Source organism: Homo sapiens, chromosome 16 (assembly GCF_000001405.40).
Source record: "Homo sapiens chromosome 16, GRCh38.p14 Primary Assembly".
NCBI lineage: Eukaryota > Metazoa > Chordata > Mammalia > Primates > Hominidae > Homo > Homo sapiens.
The window spans coordinates 30,161,805-30,179,639 of record NC_000016.10 but is presented as its reverse complement, the minus strand read 5'-3'; the positions used below and the strand labels follow the sequence as shown (position 1 = coordinate 30,179,639).

The following is a 17,835-nucleotide window of genomic DNA, read 5'->3' as shown; positions in this document are numbered from 1 at the left end:
TTGCTTGGGAAGCTGAGGCAGGAGAATAGTTTGAACTGAGGAGGTGGGAGTTTTGGTAACCCGAGATCACGCCAGCCTGGACGACAGAGCAAGACTCTGTCTCAAAAAAAAAAAAACAAAAAACAAAAACAAAAAAAACAGCAAAAAGCTGGCTAGGATGGGTCTACACAGAGGCCTGAAGAGGCCAGATATGAAGAGACATATTCTTGAGATCATTTGAGTGTCTGGATCAAGCTGTGCCTGAAACCCTTAACTTTCCTGTTGTATAAGGCAATGCACTTCTTTTTCACGTAAGCCAAGAAGTATGAGTTGGATTCCTGGCACTTGCAGCTGAAAAAGTTCTGATTACACCTACCCTGGAGGGAGACAGGACCAGAGGCCCTTCCAAGGAGCCAGATACCTACAGTAGAGGTAGACTGAAGTGTTGGAATCAAATCATTACTCCTCTTTTTATTTTTATTATTTATTTATTTTTTTTTTTTTTGAGACAGAGTCTCACTGTCACCCAGGCTTGAGTACAGTGGTACAATCTCTGCTCACTGTGACCTGCGCCTCCTAGGTTCAAGCGATTCTCCTGACTCAGCCTCCCGAGTAGCTGGGATTACGGTGCATGCCACCTTGCCTGGCAAATTTTTGTATTTTTAGTAGAGAGGGGGTTTCACCATGTTGGCCAGGCTGGTCTTGAACTTCTGACCTCAGGTGATCTACCCACCTGGGCCTCCCAAAGTGCTGGGATTACAAGCGTGAACCACCATGCCCGGCCAAAGTCCAATGTCTTTAGCAAGGTTCACAGAGCTTCCCTAGTCTGTCTTGCCCAAAGGAGGCTGTGGAGCATGGTGGGGTCAGGCACCCCTGATAACCTTGGTTTCAGCATCTCCTTACTGTCCCTGGCCAGGTGCGTTTTCCTCATCTAGGACAGGTGCACAGTGGCCCTCACTTTATAGAGGATGAGGACTAATGGAAACTAGCTATAAATGCTGGGCACAGTGCCAGGAACCAGGCTGGAGTGTGCTGGCAACTTTCCCTACCCCCTCCGCCTTCTCCATGGAGAAAGTGTGGCCCTAGAATGACACACGTAACATGCTGTCTTTGGGAAGTCACTTCCACTTGGAGTTTCTGCCCTTAGCATGGTAGCATGCTTTGTAAACATGTGAAAGGGACCCTTTTCTTATTTTTCTTATTTTTTATTTTTTATTTTTTTTGAGACAGAGTCTTACACTGTCGCCCAGGCTGGAGTGCAGTAACCCGACCTTGGCTCACTGCAACCTCCACCTCCCAGGTTCAAGCGATTCTCCTGCCTCAGGCTCCCAAGTAGCAGGGATTACAGGTGCCCGCCACCACGCCCGGCTAATTTTTTGAATTTTTTTTTTTTTTTTTTTTTTTTTTTTTTTGAGACAGCGTCTGGCTCTGTCGCCCAGGCTGGAGTGCAGTGGCGCGATCTCGGCTCACTGCAAGCTCCGCCTCCTGGGTTCACGCCATTCTCCTGCCTCAGCCTCTCAAGTAGCTGGGACTACAGGAGCCTGCCACCGCTCCCGGCTAATTTTTTGTATTTTTAGTAGAGACGGGGTTTCACTGTGTTAGCCAAGATGGTCTCGATCTCCTGACCTCATGATCCACCCGCCTCGGCCTCCCAAAGTGCTGGGATTACAGGCGTGAGCCACCACGCCCGGCCAAATTTTTTGAATTTTTAGTAGACATGGGATTTCACCATGTTGTCCAGGCTGGTCTCAAACTCCTGACCTCAGGCGATCTGCTCATCTTGGCCTACCAAAGTGCTGAAATTACAGGCGTGAGCCACCGTGCCCAGCTCTTTTTCTTATTTTTTATTTAATTTAATTAATTTATTTTTGAGACAGCGTCTCACTCTGTCGCCCAGGCTGGCGTGCAGTGGCACAATCACAGCTCACTGCAGCCTCCACCTCCCAGGCTCAAGTGAGCGATCCTCCCACCTCAGCCTCTCGAGTCACTGGGACTACAGGCAAGTGCCATAATACCCAGCTAATTTTTAAATTTTTTGTGGAGATGGGGGTTTTGCATTATTGCCCAGGTTGGTCTTGAACTCCTGAATGCAAGCAATTCTCCCGCTTCAGCTTTTCCCAAAGTGCTGGGATTATAGGCCTGAGCCACCTCACCCAGCCCTCTTTTAATTTTTTTAGAGACATGGTCTCACTGTGTTGCTTATTTTCTATCCTCTTCCTCACCCATCTGTCCATCCATCCACCCACCTACTTGTGTCCCAGGCAGGGTGCTTTGTGCTGGGGATTCAGAGGCTAATTAGCACACTCCTGCCATTAGAGAACAGCTGATTAAGAGAGGAGTGATGAGCGCTGGAGACCCAGGCCAGGCCAACAGTGCCCTGCGAACTAATTCCAGGCCTTTTTTTTTTTTTTTTTTTTTGAGACAGAGTTTTGCTCTTGTTGCTCAGGCTGGAGTGCAATGGCGCAATCACGGCTCACTGCAACTTCCACCTTCCAGGTTCAAGCGATTCTCCTTGCCTCAGCCTCCTGAGGAGCTGGGATTACAGGCATGCACCACCAAGCCTGGCTACTTCCATATTTTTTTAGTAGAGACGGGGTTTCACCATGTTGGTCAGGCTGGTTTGGGACTCCTGACCTCAGGTGATCCGCCCACCTCGGCCTCCCAAAGTGCTAATTGCAGGCCTTTTATTGGAACTTTCTGTTGGATGACTCACATTATAGGATAGAAGTCTAAGAAATGCTGGTAGTCATCCCACCTTCATCTGAAGCAAAACTGCCTGAGAACAGAACCAACCTAGAGGACAGTAGGGTCAAGAAAGGGAGAGAACAAGACAGACTCCCGGAGCCCGCCCTGGGTCCAGCCGCACTTGAAGCTAGATCCTTTCCATTATGTGAAGCAACAAATTCTCTCTTTTTTTTTTTCCTTATCAAAATTTGAACTAGGTTTCCTTCTTCTTCTTCTTCTTTTTTTTTTTTGAGACAGAGTCTCGCTCTGTTGCCCAGGCTGGAGTGCAGTGGTGCCATCTCAGCTCACTGCAAGCTCCACCTCCTGGGTTCACGCCATTCTCCTGCCTCAGCCTCCCAAGTAGCTGGGACTACAGGTGCTCGCCACCATACCCGGCTAATTTTTTTGTATTTTTAGTAGAGACGGGGTTTCACCCTGTTAGCCAGGATGGTCTTGATCTCCTGACCTCATGATCCGTCCGCCTCGGCCTCCCAAAATGCTGGGATTACAGGCGTGAGCCACTGCTCCCGGCCCTTCTTTCTTCTTTTTTAACTTTTGATGGTAATAAGGATTTATCTCTTATTATTATTATTATTATTATTTTTGAGATGGAGTTTCACTCTGTTGTTCAGGCAGGAGTGCAATGGCACAATCTTGGTTCACTCCAACCTCTGCCTCCCAGGTTGAGGCGACTCTCCTGCCTCAGCCTCCTGAGTAGCTGGGATTACAGATGTTCACCACCATGCCCAGCTAATTTGTTTCTATTTTTAGTGGAGATGGGGCTTCACCATGTTGGCCAGGCTGGTCTCAAACTCCTGACCTCAGGTGATCTGCCTGCCCTGGCCTCCCAAAATGCTAGGATTACAGGCGTGAGCCACTGCGCCCAGCCTATTTTATCTGTTTTCAAGAATTTGTTAACTTTATTTTTATTTTTTGAATCAGGGTCTCACTCTATCACCCAGGCTGGAGTGCAGTGGCTCGATTAGAGCTCACTGTGGACTCGACCTCCTAGGCTCAAGCAATCCTCTACCTTGGGCTCCTAAAGTGCCGGGACTACTGGCATGAGCCACCTCATGCAGCCAATTTTTTTTGAGACAGAGTCTCATTCTGTTGCCCAGTCTGGAGTGCAATGCTGCAATCTCAGCTTACTGCAACCTTCACCTCCTGGGTTCAAATGATTCTCCTGCCTCAGCCTCCTGAGTAGCTGGAATTACAGGCATGCACCACCACACCCAGCTAATTTTGTATCTGTAGTAGTGATGGGGTTTCACCATGTTGGCCAGGCTGGTCTCCAACTCCTGACCTCAAGTGATCCTCCTGCCTCAGGCTCCCAAAGTGCTGGGATTACAGGCATGTGCCACCATGCCCGGCCTGTAGACATTTTCAAATACAGAAAACGGGAATAATTGTATAATAAACTCTTTTGTACCCATCATCCAGCTTTGACAATGGTCAACATATATTGGCAATATTTGATTCAAATATGGCAATATTAGCAAACATTGATTCATTTCTTTTTTCACATTATTTTCTTAGAGTGTATTAAAACAGCCGGGCGCAGTGGCTCACGCCTGTAATCCCAGCACTTTGGGAGGCTGAGGCGGGCGGATCACAAGGTCAGGAGATCGAGACCGTCCTGGCTAACATGGTGAAACCCTGTTTCTACTAAAAATACAAAAAATTAGCCAGGCGAGGTGGTGGGCGCCTGTAGTCCCAGCTTCTCGGGAGGCTGAGGCAGGAGAATGGCGTGAACTCGGGAGGCAGAGCTTGCAGTGAGCTGAGATTGCGCCACTGCACTCCAGCCTGGGCGACAGATTGAGACTCCGTCTCAAAACAAAACAAAACAAAAAAAAACAGAATGTATTAAAACAAATCTCAGACATCATAGCATTTCAACTTAAATACTTCAGTATTAGCCAGGCACAGTGGCTCACACCTGTAATCCCAGCACTTTGGGAGGCTGAGGTGGGCAGATCACTAGGTCAAGAGATTGAGACCATCCTGGCCAACATGGTGAAACCCCATCTCTACTAAAAACAGAAAAATTAGCTGGGCGTGGTGGTGCACACCTGTAGTCTCAGCTACTCGGGAGGCTGAGGCAGGAGAATCGCCTGAACACAGGAGGTGGAGGTTGCAGTGAGCTAAGATCATGCCACTGCACTCCAGACTGGCGACACAGTGAGACTCCATCTCAAAAAAACAAAAAAAAAAAACTTCAGTATTTACCTCTAACACACAGAGACTTAAAAAAAAATCTCTTAGATCTGGCCAGATGCAGTGGCTCAAACCTGTAATCCCAGCACTTTTCAGGGTCAAGGTGGGCAGATCACCTGAGGTCAGAAGTTTGAGACCAGCCTGGCCAACATCACAAAAACCCGTCTCTACAAAAATACAAAAATTAGCTGGACGTGGTGGCGTGTGCCTGTAATTCCAGTGCAGTGACGAGATCTCAGCTCACTGCAACCTCTTCCTCCTGGGTTCAAGCAAGTCTCCTGCCTCAGCCTCCCAAGTAGCTGGGACAGGTGCTCATCACCACAACTGGCTAATTTTTGCATTTTCTGTAGAGACAGGGTTTCACCATTTTGCCAAGACTGGTCTTGAATTCCTGGGCTCAAGCGATCCTCCCACCTTGGCCTCCCAAAGTGCTAGGATTACAGGTGTGCACCACCATGCCTGGCGGATTATTTTTATTCTAGTTGTAACGTTATTTTCCTTCTTTTTAAAACAAACTTTATTTACATACAACAAAACACACTTTAATTTTCTTTTTTTATCTTTTTTTTTTTTTTTTTTTTTTTTTTTGAGACGGAGTCTCACGCTGTCACCCAGGCTGGAGTGCAGTAGTGCGATCTCAGCTTACTGAAACCTCCGCCTCCCGGGTTCACGTGATTCTCCTACCTCAGCCTCCCACGTAGCTAGGATTACAGGTGCACACCACCACAGCCGGCTAATTTTTTGTATTTTTAGTTGAGACAGGGTTTCACTATGTGGCCACACTGGTCTCAAACTCCTGACCTCGTGATCCACCCGCCTCAGGCTCCCAAAGTGCTAGGATTACAGGCGTGAGCCTCTGCGCGCAGCCCACTTTAATTTTCATACAATAAAGCACATTCATTTTAAGTGCATGATTCAGTTAGTTTTGACAAATATACATACCCATGTAATTACTACCATAATCAAAATATGAAATACTCCCATCACCCTTAAAATTTCCTTCCACTCGCCAGGCGCAGTGGCTGCCAGTCAGGAGATTGAGACTATTCTGGCCAACACGGTGAAACCCCATCTCTACTAAAAATACAAAAAATTAGCCGGGCGTGGTGGCAAGTACCTGTGGTCCCAGCTACTCAGGAGGCTGAGGCAGGAGAATCGCTTGAACCCAGGAGGCGGACGTTGCAGTGAGCCAAGATCGCGCCACTGCATTCCAGCCTGGGCGACAGAGCGAGACTCCATCTCAAAAAAAATAAAAATAAAAAAAATAAGTTCCTTCCCCAATCAATCCCCAACCTCAGCCCCAGACAGCGATTGATCTTTTTGCTGTCATTATAGATTAATTTTGCCTGTTCTAGAATGTTCCACACAAATGAAATATACAATACGGGTCTGCTTTTTTTCACTTTTCATAATGTTTTGAGATTCGTCATATTATTGTATGTCAGATAAGGATTACTTTACCTAACCACAGTACCATTACGTAATACATAATTAATTACACCTAAATTTAGCAAGAATTTTTTTTTTGGAAATGTACTAAAATTTAATCATCCATAAAAGCTTTTTTTTTTTTTTTTTTTTCGCAGACGGGTTGTCGCTCTGTTGCCCAGGCTGGAGTGCAGTGGCACAATCTCAGTTTGCTACAGCCTCCACTTCCTGGGTTCAAGCAATTCTCATGCCTCAGCCTCCCACGTAGCAGGGACTATAGGAGTGCACCAACCCTCCTGGCTAATTTATTTTTTTTCAAAACAGAGTCTTGCTCTATCGCCCAGTCTGGAGTGCAGTGGCATGATCTCAGCTAACTGCAGCCTCCGCCTTCTGGGTTCAAACAATTCTCCTGCCTCAGCCTCCGGAGTAGCTGGGATTACAGGTGTGTGCCACCACACCCAGCTAATTTTTTTTTTTTTTTTTTTTGAGACAGAGTCTCGCTCTGTCGCCCAGGCTGGAGTGCAGTGGTGTGATCACTGCAAGCTCCGTCTTTCAGGTTCACGCCATTCTCCTGCCTCAGCCTCCCGAGTAGCTGGGACTACAGGCACCCACCACCGCACCCAGCTAATTTTTTGTATTTTTAGTAGACACGGGGTTTCACCGTGTTAGCCAGGTTGGTCTCGATCTCCTGACCTTGTGATCCTCCTGCCTCGGCCTCCCAAAGTGCTGGGATTACAGGTGTGAGCCACCGCAACCGGCCCACACCTGGCTAATTTTTTGTATTTTTAGTAGAGATGGGGTTTCACCATGTTGACCAGGCTGGTCTTGAACTCCTGACTTCATGATCTGCCTGCCTCGGCCTCCCAGAGTGCTGGGATTACAGGCATGAGCCACCGTGCCCAGCCAATTTTTCTATTTTTAGTAGAGATGGGGTTTCGCCATGTTGTCCAGGCTGGTCTCAAACTCCTGGCCTCAAGTGATCTGCCCACCTTGGCCTTCCAAAGTGCTGGGATTACAGGCATGCGCCACCTTGCCCAGCCCAGAGATATAATTTAACAGTAAAACAGAATAAGCTATGTTAGAGTTGGTTTAGTGCAAGCTTGTGCAACCCCAGGATGATCCAGGATGGCTTTGAATGCAGACCAACACAAATTGGTAAACTTAAAACATTATGAGATTTTTTTGTGATTTTTTTTTTTTAGCCCATTAGCTATCGTTAGTATATTTTATGTGTGGCCCAAGACAATTCTTCTTCCAATGTGGTCCGGGGAAGCCAAAAGATTGGACACCCCTGATTTAGTATATTATATATTTTATCTTTGAAAGCCATAGAAATCATTTGTCCCAGGCCGAGCGTGGTGGCTCACGCCTGTAATCTCAGCACTTTGGGAGGCCAAGGTGGGTGGATCAAAAGGTCAGGAGTTCAAGACCAGCTTGGCTAATATGGTGAAACCCCATCTCTACTAAAAATACAAAAATTAGCCGGGTATGGTAGTGGGCACCTGTAGTCCTAGCTACTGTGGAGGCTGAAGCAGAGAATTGCTTGAACACGGGAGGCGGAGGTTGCAGTGAGCCGAGATCATGCCACTGCACTCCAGCCTGGGCAACAGAGCAAGACCCCATCTCAAAAAACAAAAAAAAGAAAGAAAAGAAATCATTTGTTCCAGTTTTTTTTCTATAAAAGATCCATTTTCCCAAAGCATTCTGCACAAATTTTAATTAGAATGCAATGACAGACGGTATTTCATAATTTTTAAAATATAAAATGAAGTCAATGACTCAAAAAAGTTAGCTGCTGCAATGAATTCGAAAGGAATTTTCATAATCTATATCACTGCAGAAATAGAGTATAATGATTCAACTTTTCAGTGCTTGGCAGAGAGGAATAATGATTAAAAGGTCAATATGAAATTATTTGAGGCTGAGTGTGGTGACTCAGGCCCATAATCCTAGCACTTCGGAAGGCCGAGGTGGGAGGATTGCTTGAGTCCAGGAGTTTGAGACCAGCCTGGGTAACGTAGTAGGACCTTGTCTCTACAAAAAATTTAAAAGGAAAAAATAAATAACTGGGCACAGTGGCACGTGCCTGCAGTCCCAGCCACTCTGGGGGCGGGTGAGGTGGGAGGATTGCTTAAGCTCAGCAGGTCGAGGTTGCATTAGGCCATGATTGTGTCACTGCACCCCAGCCTCGGTGACAGAGAGACCCTGTTTCAAAAAAAAAAAAAAAAGAAAAGAAAAGAAGAAAAGAAAAGAAAAATAAATCATTTGATAATACTAGCAACATCTAACATTTGAAATGCATTCATGCTCTTCTGTATAATCATATTAGAGTTGAGTGTATTTATTTTCACATCTGTTTTTTTTTTTTTTTTAATTTATTTATTTTTTATTGATAATTCTTGGGTGTTTCTCACAGAGGGGGATTTGGCAGGGTCATAGGACAATAGTGGAGGGAAGGTCAGCAGATAAACAAGTGAACAAAGGTCTCTGGTTTTCCTAGGCAGAGGACCCTGCGGCCTTCCGCAGTGTTTGTGTCCCTGATTACTTGAGATTAGGGATTGGTGATGACTCTTAACGAGCATGCTGCCTTCAAGCATCTGTTTAACAAAGCACATCTTGCACCGCCCTTAATCCGTTTAACCCTGAGTGGACACAGCACATGTTTCAGAGAGCACAGGGTTGGGGGTAAGGTCACAGATCAACAGGATCCCAAGGCAGAAGTTTTCTTAGTACAGAACAAAATGAAAAGTCTCCCATGTCTACTTCTTTCTACACAGACACGGCAACCATCCGATTTCTCAATCTTTTCCCCACCTTTCCCGCCTTTCTATTCCACAAAGCCGCCATTGTCATCCTGGCCCGTTCTCAATGAGCTGTTGGGCACACCTCCCAGACGGGGTGGTGGCCGGGCAGAGGCGCCCCTCACCTCCCGGGCGGGGCCGCTGGCCGGGCGGGGGCTGACCCCCCAACCTCCCTCCCGGACGGGGCGGCTGGCCGGGCGGGGGGCTGACCCCGCCACCTCCCTCCCGGACGGGGCGGCTGGCCTGGCAGAGGGGCTCCTTACTTCCCAGTAGGGGCGGCCGGGCAGAGGCGCCCGTCACCTCCCGGACGGGGCGGCTGGCCGGGCGGGGGGCTGACCCCCCCACCTCCCTCCCGGACGGGGCGGCTGGCCCGGCGGGGGGCCGACCCCCCCACCTCCCTCCCGGATGGGGCGGCTGGCCTGGCAGAGGGGCTCCTCACTTCCCAGTAGGGGTGGCCAGGCAGAGGCGCCCCTCACCTCCCAGACGGGGCGGCTGGCCGGGCGGGGGGCTGACCCCCCCACCTCCCTCCCGGACGGGGCGGCTGGCCGGGCGGGGGGCTGACCCCGCCACCTCCCTCCCGGACGGGGCGGCTGGCCTGGCAGAGGGGCTCCTTACTTCCCAGTAGGGGCGGCCGGGCAGAGGCGCCCGTCACCTCCCGGACGGGGCGGCTGGCCGGGCGGGGGGCTGACCCCCCCACCTCCCTCCCGGACGGGGCGGCTGGCCGGGCGGGGGGCTGACCCCGCCACCTCCCTCCCGGACGGGGCGGCTGGCCTGGCAGAGGGGCTCCCCACTTCCCAGTAGGGGCGGCCGGGCAGAGGCGCCCCTCACCTCCCGGACGGGGCGGCTGGCCGAGCGGGGGGCTGACGCCCCGACCTCCCTCCCGGACCGGGCGGCTGGCCTGGCGGGGGGCTGAACCCCCCACCTCCCTCCCTGACGGGGCGGCTGGCCGGGCGGGGGGCTGACCCGCCTACCTCCCTCCCGGACGGGGCGGCTGGCCGGGCGGGGGGCTGACCCCCCCACCTCCCTCCGGGACGGGGCGGCTGGCCGGGCGGGGGGCTGACCCCCCCCACCTCCCTCCCGGACCGGGCGGCTGGCCGGGCGGGGGGCTGACCCCCCCCACCTCCCTCCCGGACGGGGCCGCTGGCCGGGCGGGGGGCTGACCCCCCCCCACCTCCCTCCCGGACGGGGCGGCTGGCCGGGTGGGGGGCTGACCCCCCCACCTCCCTCCCGGACGGGGCCGCTGGCCGGGCAGAGGGGCTCCTCACTTCCCAGTAGGGGTGACCAGGCAGAGGCGCCCCTCACCTCCCGGACGGGGCGGCTGGCCAGGCGGGAGGCTGACGCCCCGACCTCCCTCCCGGACGGGGCGGCTGGCCTGGCGGGGGGCTGACCCCCCCACCTCCCTCCCTGACGGGGCGGCTGGCGGGGCGTGGGGCTGACCCCCCCACCTCCCTCCCGGATGGGGCTGCTGGCCTGGCGGGGGGCTGACCCCCCCCACCTCCCTCCCGGACGGGGTGGCTGCCGGGCGGAGACGCTCCTCACTTCCCAGACGGGGTGGCTGCTGGGCGGAGAGGCTCCTCATTTCTCAGACGGGGCGGCTGCCGGGTGGAGGGTCTCCTCACTTCTCAGACGGGGTGGTTGCCGGGCAGAGGGTCTCCTCACTTCTCAGACGGGGCGGCGGGGCAGAGATGCTCCTCACCTCCCAGACGGGGTCGTGGCCGGGCAGAGGTGCTCCTCACATCCCAGACGGGGCGGCGGGGCAGAGGTTCTCCCCACATCTCAGACGATGGGCGGCCGGGCAGAGACGCTCCTCACTTCCTAGATGTGATGGCGGCCGGAAAGAGGCGCTCCTCACCTCCTAGATGGGATGGCGGCCGGTCGGAGACGCTCCTCACCTCCCAGACTGGGCAGCCAGGCAGAGGGGCTCCCCACATCCCAGACGATGGGTGGCCAGGCAGAGACGCTCCTCACTTCCCAGACGGGGTTGTAGCGAGCCGAGACCACGCCACTGCACTCCAGCCTGGGCACCACCGAGCACTGAGTCTTCACATCTGTTATAGCTGCCTTTGCAAAGGAAAAATAGTATTATCTTATTTTCCAAGAGATATACACAGAGCAATTTTTTTTTCTGCAGGGAACTTGTGCAAACCAACATAAGATCTAAATTCTCCATATAATATATCAAGCAGGAAAAGCCTCATCAGATTTCTTTTTTGAATTCTGGGATGCTGACACTTTCCAATTAGGCAATGGTTCTTCATCCTGCAGTTGGCTCAGAGCTGCAGCTGACTGTGGGTCTGCCATAGCAGACATGATTTCTTTATTTTGATATGGAGTTTTGCTGTTTCGCCCAGTCTGGAGTGCAGTGGCACGATCTCGGCTCACTGCAACCTCCTCCCCGCAGGTTCAAGCAATTCTCCTGCCTCCACCTCCAGAGTAGCTGGGATTATAGGTGCCTGCCACCATGCCCAGCTAATTTTTGTATTTTTAGTAGAGATGGGGTTTTGCCATGTTGGCTGAGCTGGTCTTGAACTCCTGACCTCAGAGTGATCTGCATGCCTCGGCCTCTCAAAGTGCTGGGACTCCAGGTGTGAGCCACCACACCTGTCTAATTTTTCTATTTTTTGTAGAGACAGGTTTCACCATGTTGGCCAGGCTGGTCTCGAACTCCGGACCTCAGGTGATCCGCCCGCCTGGGCACCCCAAAGTGTTGGGATTCCAGGTGCAAGCCACCACACCTGTCTAATTTTTCTATTTTTTTAGAGATGGGGTCTTGCTATACTGCCCAGGCTGGTCTCAAACTCCTGACCTCAGGTGATCCGCCTGCCTCACCTCCCAGAGTGCTGGGATTACAGGCGTGAGCCACTGCTCCTGGCCTGAACTAGGTATTGAATAGGAGTCTGCCAAGCAAAGAAGAGAGGCAGGAGGGAGAAGAGCCATTCAGATGAAGGCAGGAAAAGATCATGACGTTTTAGGGAATGGAGAGCTGTCCCCCAAGGCTGGGGCCTCAGATGCTTGGGGTGAGAGGAAAGGTCAGAATGCTGGGAAGGTCCATAGGGGCAGAGCATGGGGGACCTCAAACAGAGCCTTCTCAAGGAGTTTTCTCCAGTGAGTAGCACGGAGCCCCCACAAGTCTCCAGGTAAAGAAGTAACAGTTTCATTGGCAAGAGGTTGCTCTGGTAGCCTGGCACCTCCTCATGTGGCCCTGATCTTCCATCTACCTGCAGGGTCAGCACTGACTCACATTCTGAAAGCACTCCTGCCCGGGCACAGTGGCTCATGCCTGAAATCCCAGCACTTCTGGAGGCCAAGGCAGGAGGATCATTTGAGGCCAGGAGATTGAGACAAGCCTGAACAACATAGTGAGACTCCATTTCTACAAAATATAAAATATGGGCTGGACACGGTGGCTAATGCCTGTAATCCCAGCACTTTGGGAGGCCAAGGCGGGCGGATCACCCGAGGTCAGGAGTTCGATATCAGCCTGACCAACATGGTGAAACTCTGTCTCTACTAAATACAAAAAATTAGCCAGGCGTGGTGGCGCATGCCTGTAATCCCAGCTACTTGGGAGGCTGAGGCAGGAGAATTGCTTGAACCCGGGAGGCGGAGGTTGCAATGAGCTGAGATTGTACCATTGCACTCCAGCCTGGGCAGCAAGAGCGAAACTCTGTCTCAAATAAATAAATAAATAAATAAAATAAAATATTAGCCACGTGTGATGGCATGTGCCTGTAGTCCTAACTACTCGGGAGGCTGAAGCAGGAGGATCCCTTGAGCCCAGGAGTTGGAGGCTTCAGTGAACTATGATTGCGCCACTGCATTCCAGCCTGGATGACAGAAGGAGACCCTGTCTCTAAAAAAATGTTTTTAAAGTAATGGTTCTCATTGGGCCCAAGGCCGATCCCTCTTGGGACACATTCCTCCCATTTCTTCAGTGATCTCACCTCATCGTTTCACCCTTTTCTCCTCTACTGGCAGGCCTCTCTCTGCAGACCCTCTCTTTTCAGGATATAAAACACACCCAGGTTCCTGTGTGCAGGGGGAACCTCTCTCAACTTGGCAACCTCAAACCACTTCCCTATTTCACTCCTATTGTTCACATGTGAGTTTCTTGAGAGAGTGGTGGACACTCACTGTCTCCACTTCCTCATTTCCTACTTTTCCACCTACTTGAGTCTGTCTTCTGCCCTCGCCATTCCACATATATTTGCCCTCACCAGCCAGGCCCGGTGGCTCACGCCTGTTATCCCAACACTTTGGGAGGCTGAGGCAGGCAGATCACCTGAGGTCAGGAGTTCAAGACCACCCTGGCCAACATGGTGAAACCCCATCTCTACTAAAAACACAAAAATTAGCTGGGTGTGGTGGCGCACACCTGTAATCCCAGCTACTGGGGAGGCTGAGGCAGGAGAATCGCTTGAACCCGGGAGACAGAGGTTGCAGTGAGCCGAGATTGAGCCATTGCACTCCAGCCTGGGTGACAGAGCGAAACTCCATTAAAAAAAAAAAAAAAAAAGATTTGCCCTCAGCAGGGCCACCAGTAACTTCCTGGTCATCAAATCAGGCAAACACGTTTTGGTGTCCATCCAATGCTACTGACTATGCCTCCTCCTTGAACATGTTCCTTTCGAATATGCGACGACGCACCCTCCCCTTGTTCTCATCTTTCTCTATGGCTTTCTCTGTCAATCCCCTGTGGGGTGTCTCTTCCTCTGCTTTACTCATTACACCCAGAGTCCTCCCAGGACTCCACCTCTTAGTTACTTATTTAGATTCAGGGTCTTGTTCTGTCACCCAGGCTGGAGTGCAGGGGTGCAATTACAGCTCACTGCAGCCTCAAAGTCCTGGGCTCAGGCGATCCTCCTGCCTCAGCCTCCCAAAGTGCTGGGACTAAAGGCGTGCAACACCATGCCTGGCTAATACTTCTGGTTTTTGGAGAGGCGGGGGGGGTCCCATAATGTTGCCCAGGCTGGTCTTAAACTCCTGGCCCTAAGCAACCCACCCATCTCAGCCTCCCAAAGTGCTGGGATTACAGACGTGAGTCCCGCACCTCCATCTCTTCTTATTGCACTCAAACTCCCCACACTATCTTATCCACATAGGCAGCTTCAATTGCAAACTCTGATGACTCTCAGCCTGTCTCTGAGGTACAAACCTGTCTCTGTGTTTCCTGGTTCTGACCTGCATGTCCCATTAGAACCCCAGGGAGGGCCTCCTGGAGTGAGGAGTCTTGACCTTGAATCTCCCCTTTTCTCTTCATCACTACCGACACTACCTGAGTTGAGTTGCTTCTACCATTGCAGGAACCCCCTAAGTAATCTGCAGGCCATCTCACCTTCTTCTGATCCATCTTTTATTTATTTATTTACTTACTTACTTACTTACTTACTCACTTACTTATTTGAAACAGAGTCTTGTTCCATCACTCAGGCTGGAGTGCAGTGGCACAATCTCAGCTCACTGCAACCTCCACCTCTTGGGTTCAAGCGATTCTCGTGCCTCAGCCTCCTGAGTAGCTGGGGTTACAGGCACACGCCACCACAGCTGGCTAATTTTTGTATTTTTAGTAGAGATGGGGTTTCACCATGTTGGCCAGGCTGGTCTGAAACTCCTGACCTCAGGCGATCCGCCCACCTCAGCCTCCCAAAGTGCTGAGATTACAGGCATGAGCCACCACACCCAGCTCCCATGACTGCTTAACTGATAGAATGTGGTAGAAGTTATTCTGTGACAATTACAGGCCTATCCTTTCAGTAGACTAAAAGGTTTTGCTTCCTTTCTCAGGATGCTTCTGCTCAAAATCCCAGAATAATGAGAAATAACAAAATGGTTGTCAATTTGGCCAGGTGCAGTGGCTCACACCTATAATCATAGCACTTTGGGAGGCCAAGGCGGGTGGATCAGTTGAGCTCAGAAGTTCAAGAACTGCCTGGGCAATATGGTGCAACCTTGTGTCTACAAAAAATATACAAAATTAGCTGGGCATGCACCTGTTGTCCCAGCTACTCAGGAGGCTGAGGTGGGAGGATTGCTTGAACCAGGGAGGCAGAGGTTGCAGTGAGCCAACATCACACTGCTGTACTCCAACCTGGGCAACAAAGTGCAACCCTGTTTCAAAACAAACAAACAAACAAAATAATAATAAATAATGGCTCCAGTGTGGTGGCTCACACCTGTAATCCCAGCACTTTGAGGGGCCAAGGCAGGAGGATTTCTTGAGCCCAGGAGTTCAAGACTAGCCTGGGCAACACAGAGAGATCCTAACTCAACGAATAATATAAAAAGTTAGCGGGCTGGGTGCAGTGGCTCACACCTCTAATCCCAGCATTTTGGGAGGCCAAGGCAGGAGGATCACTTAGGGCCAGGAGTTCAAGACCAGCCTGGGCAACAAAGTAAGACCCTTGTCTCTAAAAATATTTAAAAATTAGCCAGACTATAGGTGGCGTGTGCCTATAGTTCCAGCTGCTTGGGAGGCTGAGGTGGGAGGATCGCTTGAGCCCAAGAGGTCAAGTCTGCAGTGAGCTATGATCACACCACTGCACTCCAGCCTGGGTAATAGAGTGAGACCCTGTCTATACACAAATAAACAAACAAACAAACAAACCACTCTTTTTGGCAACAGATGGGGTTTCACCATATTGGCCAGGCTGGTCTCAAACCCCTGAGCTCAGGTGATCCATCCACCTTTGCCTCCCAAAGTGCCGGGATTAAAGGTGTGAGCCACCACACCCAGCCAACTTCTTTTGATGTGGAAATTTACAAAGGATTGGCAGCCGTCTTTCATTCACTAGAGAGGACTGTGCAGGTAACATGAGCATCTGAGGCAGGGCGGGTGAACCAGAACAGGGAGTGGAGGGGCTGTGGTGGTGCCAGCCACTTGTCACCATGAAGAAATGCTGGCCCTGTGTAGCCAAACTTGGCTTTTCAAGATAAAGTAGAAATATGGATTTTTATGTGAAAGCTCTAGATCTTTCAATGTTGGCAACTAATTCAAAAATTTCTAAAAATGTTGTGCGAGCAAAACTAAATATGTCTTTGGTTTGGATGTGGTTTTTCTGGCCAGATTTTTTTTTTTTTTTTTAAAGAAATAGAGACAGGGATTTGCTATGTTGCCCAGGCTGGTCTGAAACTCCTGGCCTCAAGTGATGCTCCCACCGCAGCCTACCAAACTGCTAAGATTATAGGCATGAGCCACCAGGCCCTGCCCTGGCCAGCAATTTTTCTTTTTTGACTCTGTTCTTTGCCCTTGACATGGGCCTGAAATCTCTTTTTTAAAATTAATTTATTTATTTATTTTTGAGACAGAGTCTTGCTCTGTCACCCAGGCTGGAGTGCAGTGGCACCATCTCGGCTCACTGCAACCTCCACCTCCCTGGTTCAAGTGATTCTCCTGCCTCAGCCACCCAAGTACCTGGGACTACAGATATGCACCATCACACCTGACTAATTTTTTAATTTTTTGGTAGAGATAGAATTTCATCACGTTGGTCAGGCTGGTCTCAACCTCCTGACCTCAAATGATCCACCCACCTTGGCCTCCCTAAGTGCTGGGATTACAGATGTGAGTCACTGCGCCTGGCCTGAATTTATTTTTAATTTATATATTTTTTAGAGACAGGGTCTTGCCATGTTGCCCAGGCTTGTCTCGAACTCCTGAACTCAAGCTATCTGCCTCAGCCTCCCAAAGAGCTGGGATTACAGGTGTGAGCCACCGTGCCCAGCCTGGGCCTGAAATCTCTTACTCTTTGTTTCCTACCAAACTTTCATGTATCCTACTTATCCCTTGAAACCTGGCGAGGTGTGGTGGCTCGGCGAGCCGAGATCGCACCACTGTACTCCAGCCTGGGTGACAGAGTGAGACTCCATCTCAAAAATATAAAAATTAAAATAAATAAATAAAACTCAAGTCAAGATTTCCTTCTCTGGGAACTGCCTCTCCCCTGACCCACAGTCACTGCCCAAATGCTTTCCTTTCTGTTTTGTGTTAGTGGCCCTTGCTGTATACCTCAATCATTGTAACTGGTACATTGGATAGTCATTGTTTATATGTCCCCCTCTTCCACAGACTGAGTTGTTGTCTGTTTCTTTGAGACAGGATCTTGCTCTGTCGCCTTGGCTGGGGTGCAGTGGTGTGATTATGGTTCATTGCAGCCTTGACATCCCAGGCTCAAGCAATCCTCCTCCTGCCACAGTCTCCCCAGGAGGTGGGCCCACAGGCACGAGCCACTGGACCTAGCTAATTTTTCATTTTTTGTAGATGAGATCTCACTGTGTCACCCAGGATGGTCTCAAACTCCTGGCCTCAAGTGATCCTCCTGCTTCAGCCTCCCAGAGTGCTGGGGTTACAGGTATGAGCCACACCATGTCTGGCCTTCAAAATGAGTTGCATTTGCCCAGCACAGTGGCCAACACATGGCTGGCATTCAATAGATAAAATCCTCTTTCTTTCCCAACACTGCTAAGCAATGAGCACTTGCATACTCTGCCTCCACCATGTTATTTCCTGGCCAGTCCATCCTCTGTTCCCACTGCTATTACCCTGGCCGAGCAGAACATACCTTACCTCCTCTTCCCCATGGTGATTAGTTTACAGAAGAATTTATGACCTACTGTAGACCAATGAGATTCTTCCCAAGCACCATTGCAGGAACTTTTAGGGATGAGATTTCTTTCGACTCTGGTCGGCAAA

General features: G+C 50.7%; 2 annotated features.

The window, feature by feature from the left end:
* Positions 2,475-2,975: an enhancer, noted in NCBI's record as "H3K4me1 hESC enhancer chr16:30187986-30188486 (GRCh37/hg19 assembly coordinates)". NCBI's record gives its function as "activates a minimal SCP1, AML or CMV promoter by ChIP-STARR-seq in primed H9 embryonic stem cells {active_cell/tissue: H9 hESC(primed)}" and the evidence as "EXISTENCE:reporter gene assay evidence [ECO:0000049][PMID:30033119]".
* Positions 13,295-13,554: an enhancer, noted in NCBI's record as "active region_10692". NCBI's record gives its function as "activates an Ori minimal core promoter by ATAC-STARR-seq in GM12878 lymphoblastoid cells {active_cell/tissue: GM12878}" and the evidence as "EXISTENCE:reporter gene assay evidence [ECO:0000049][PMID:35858748]".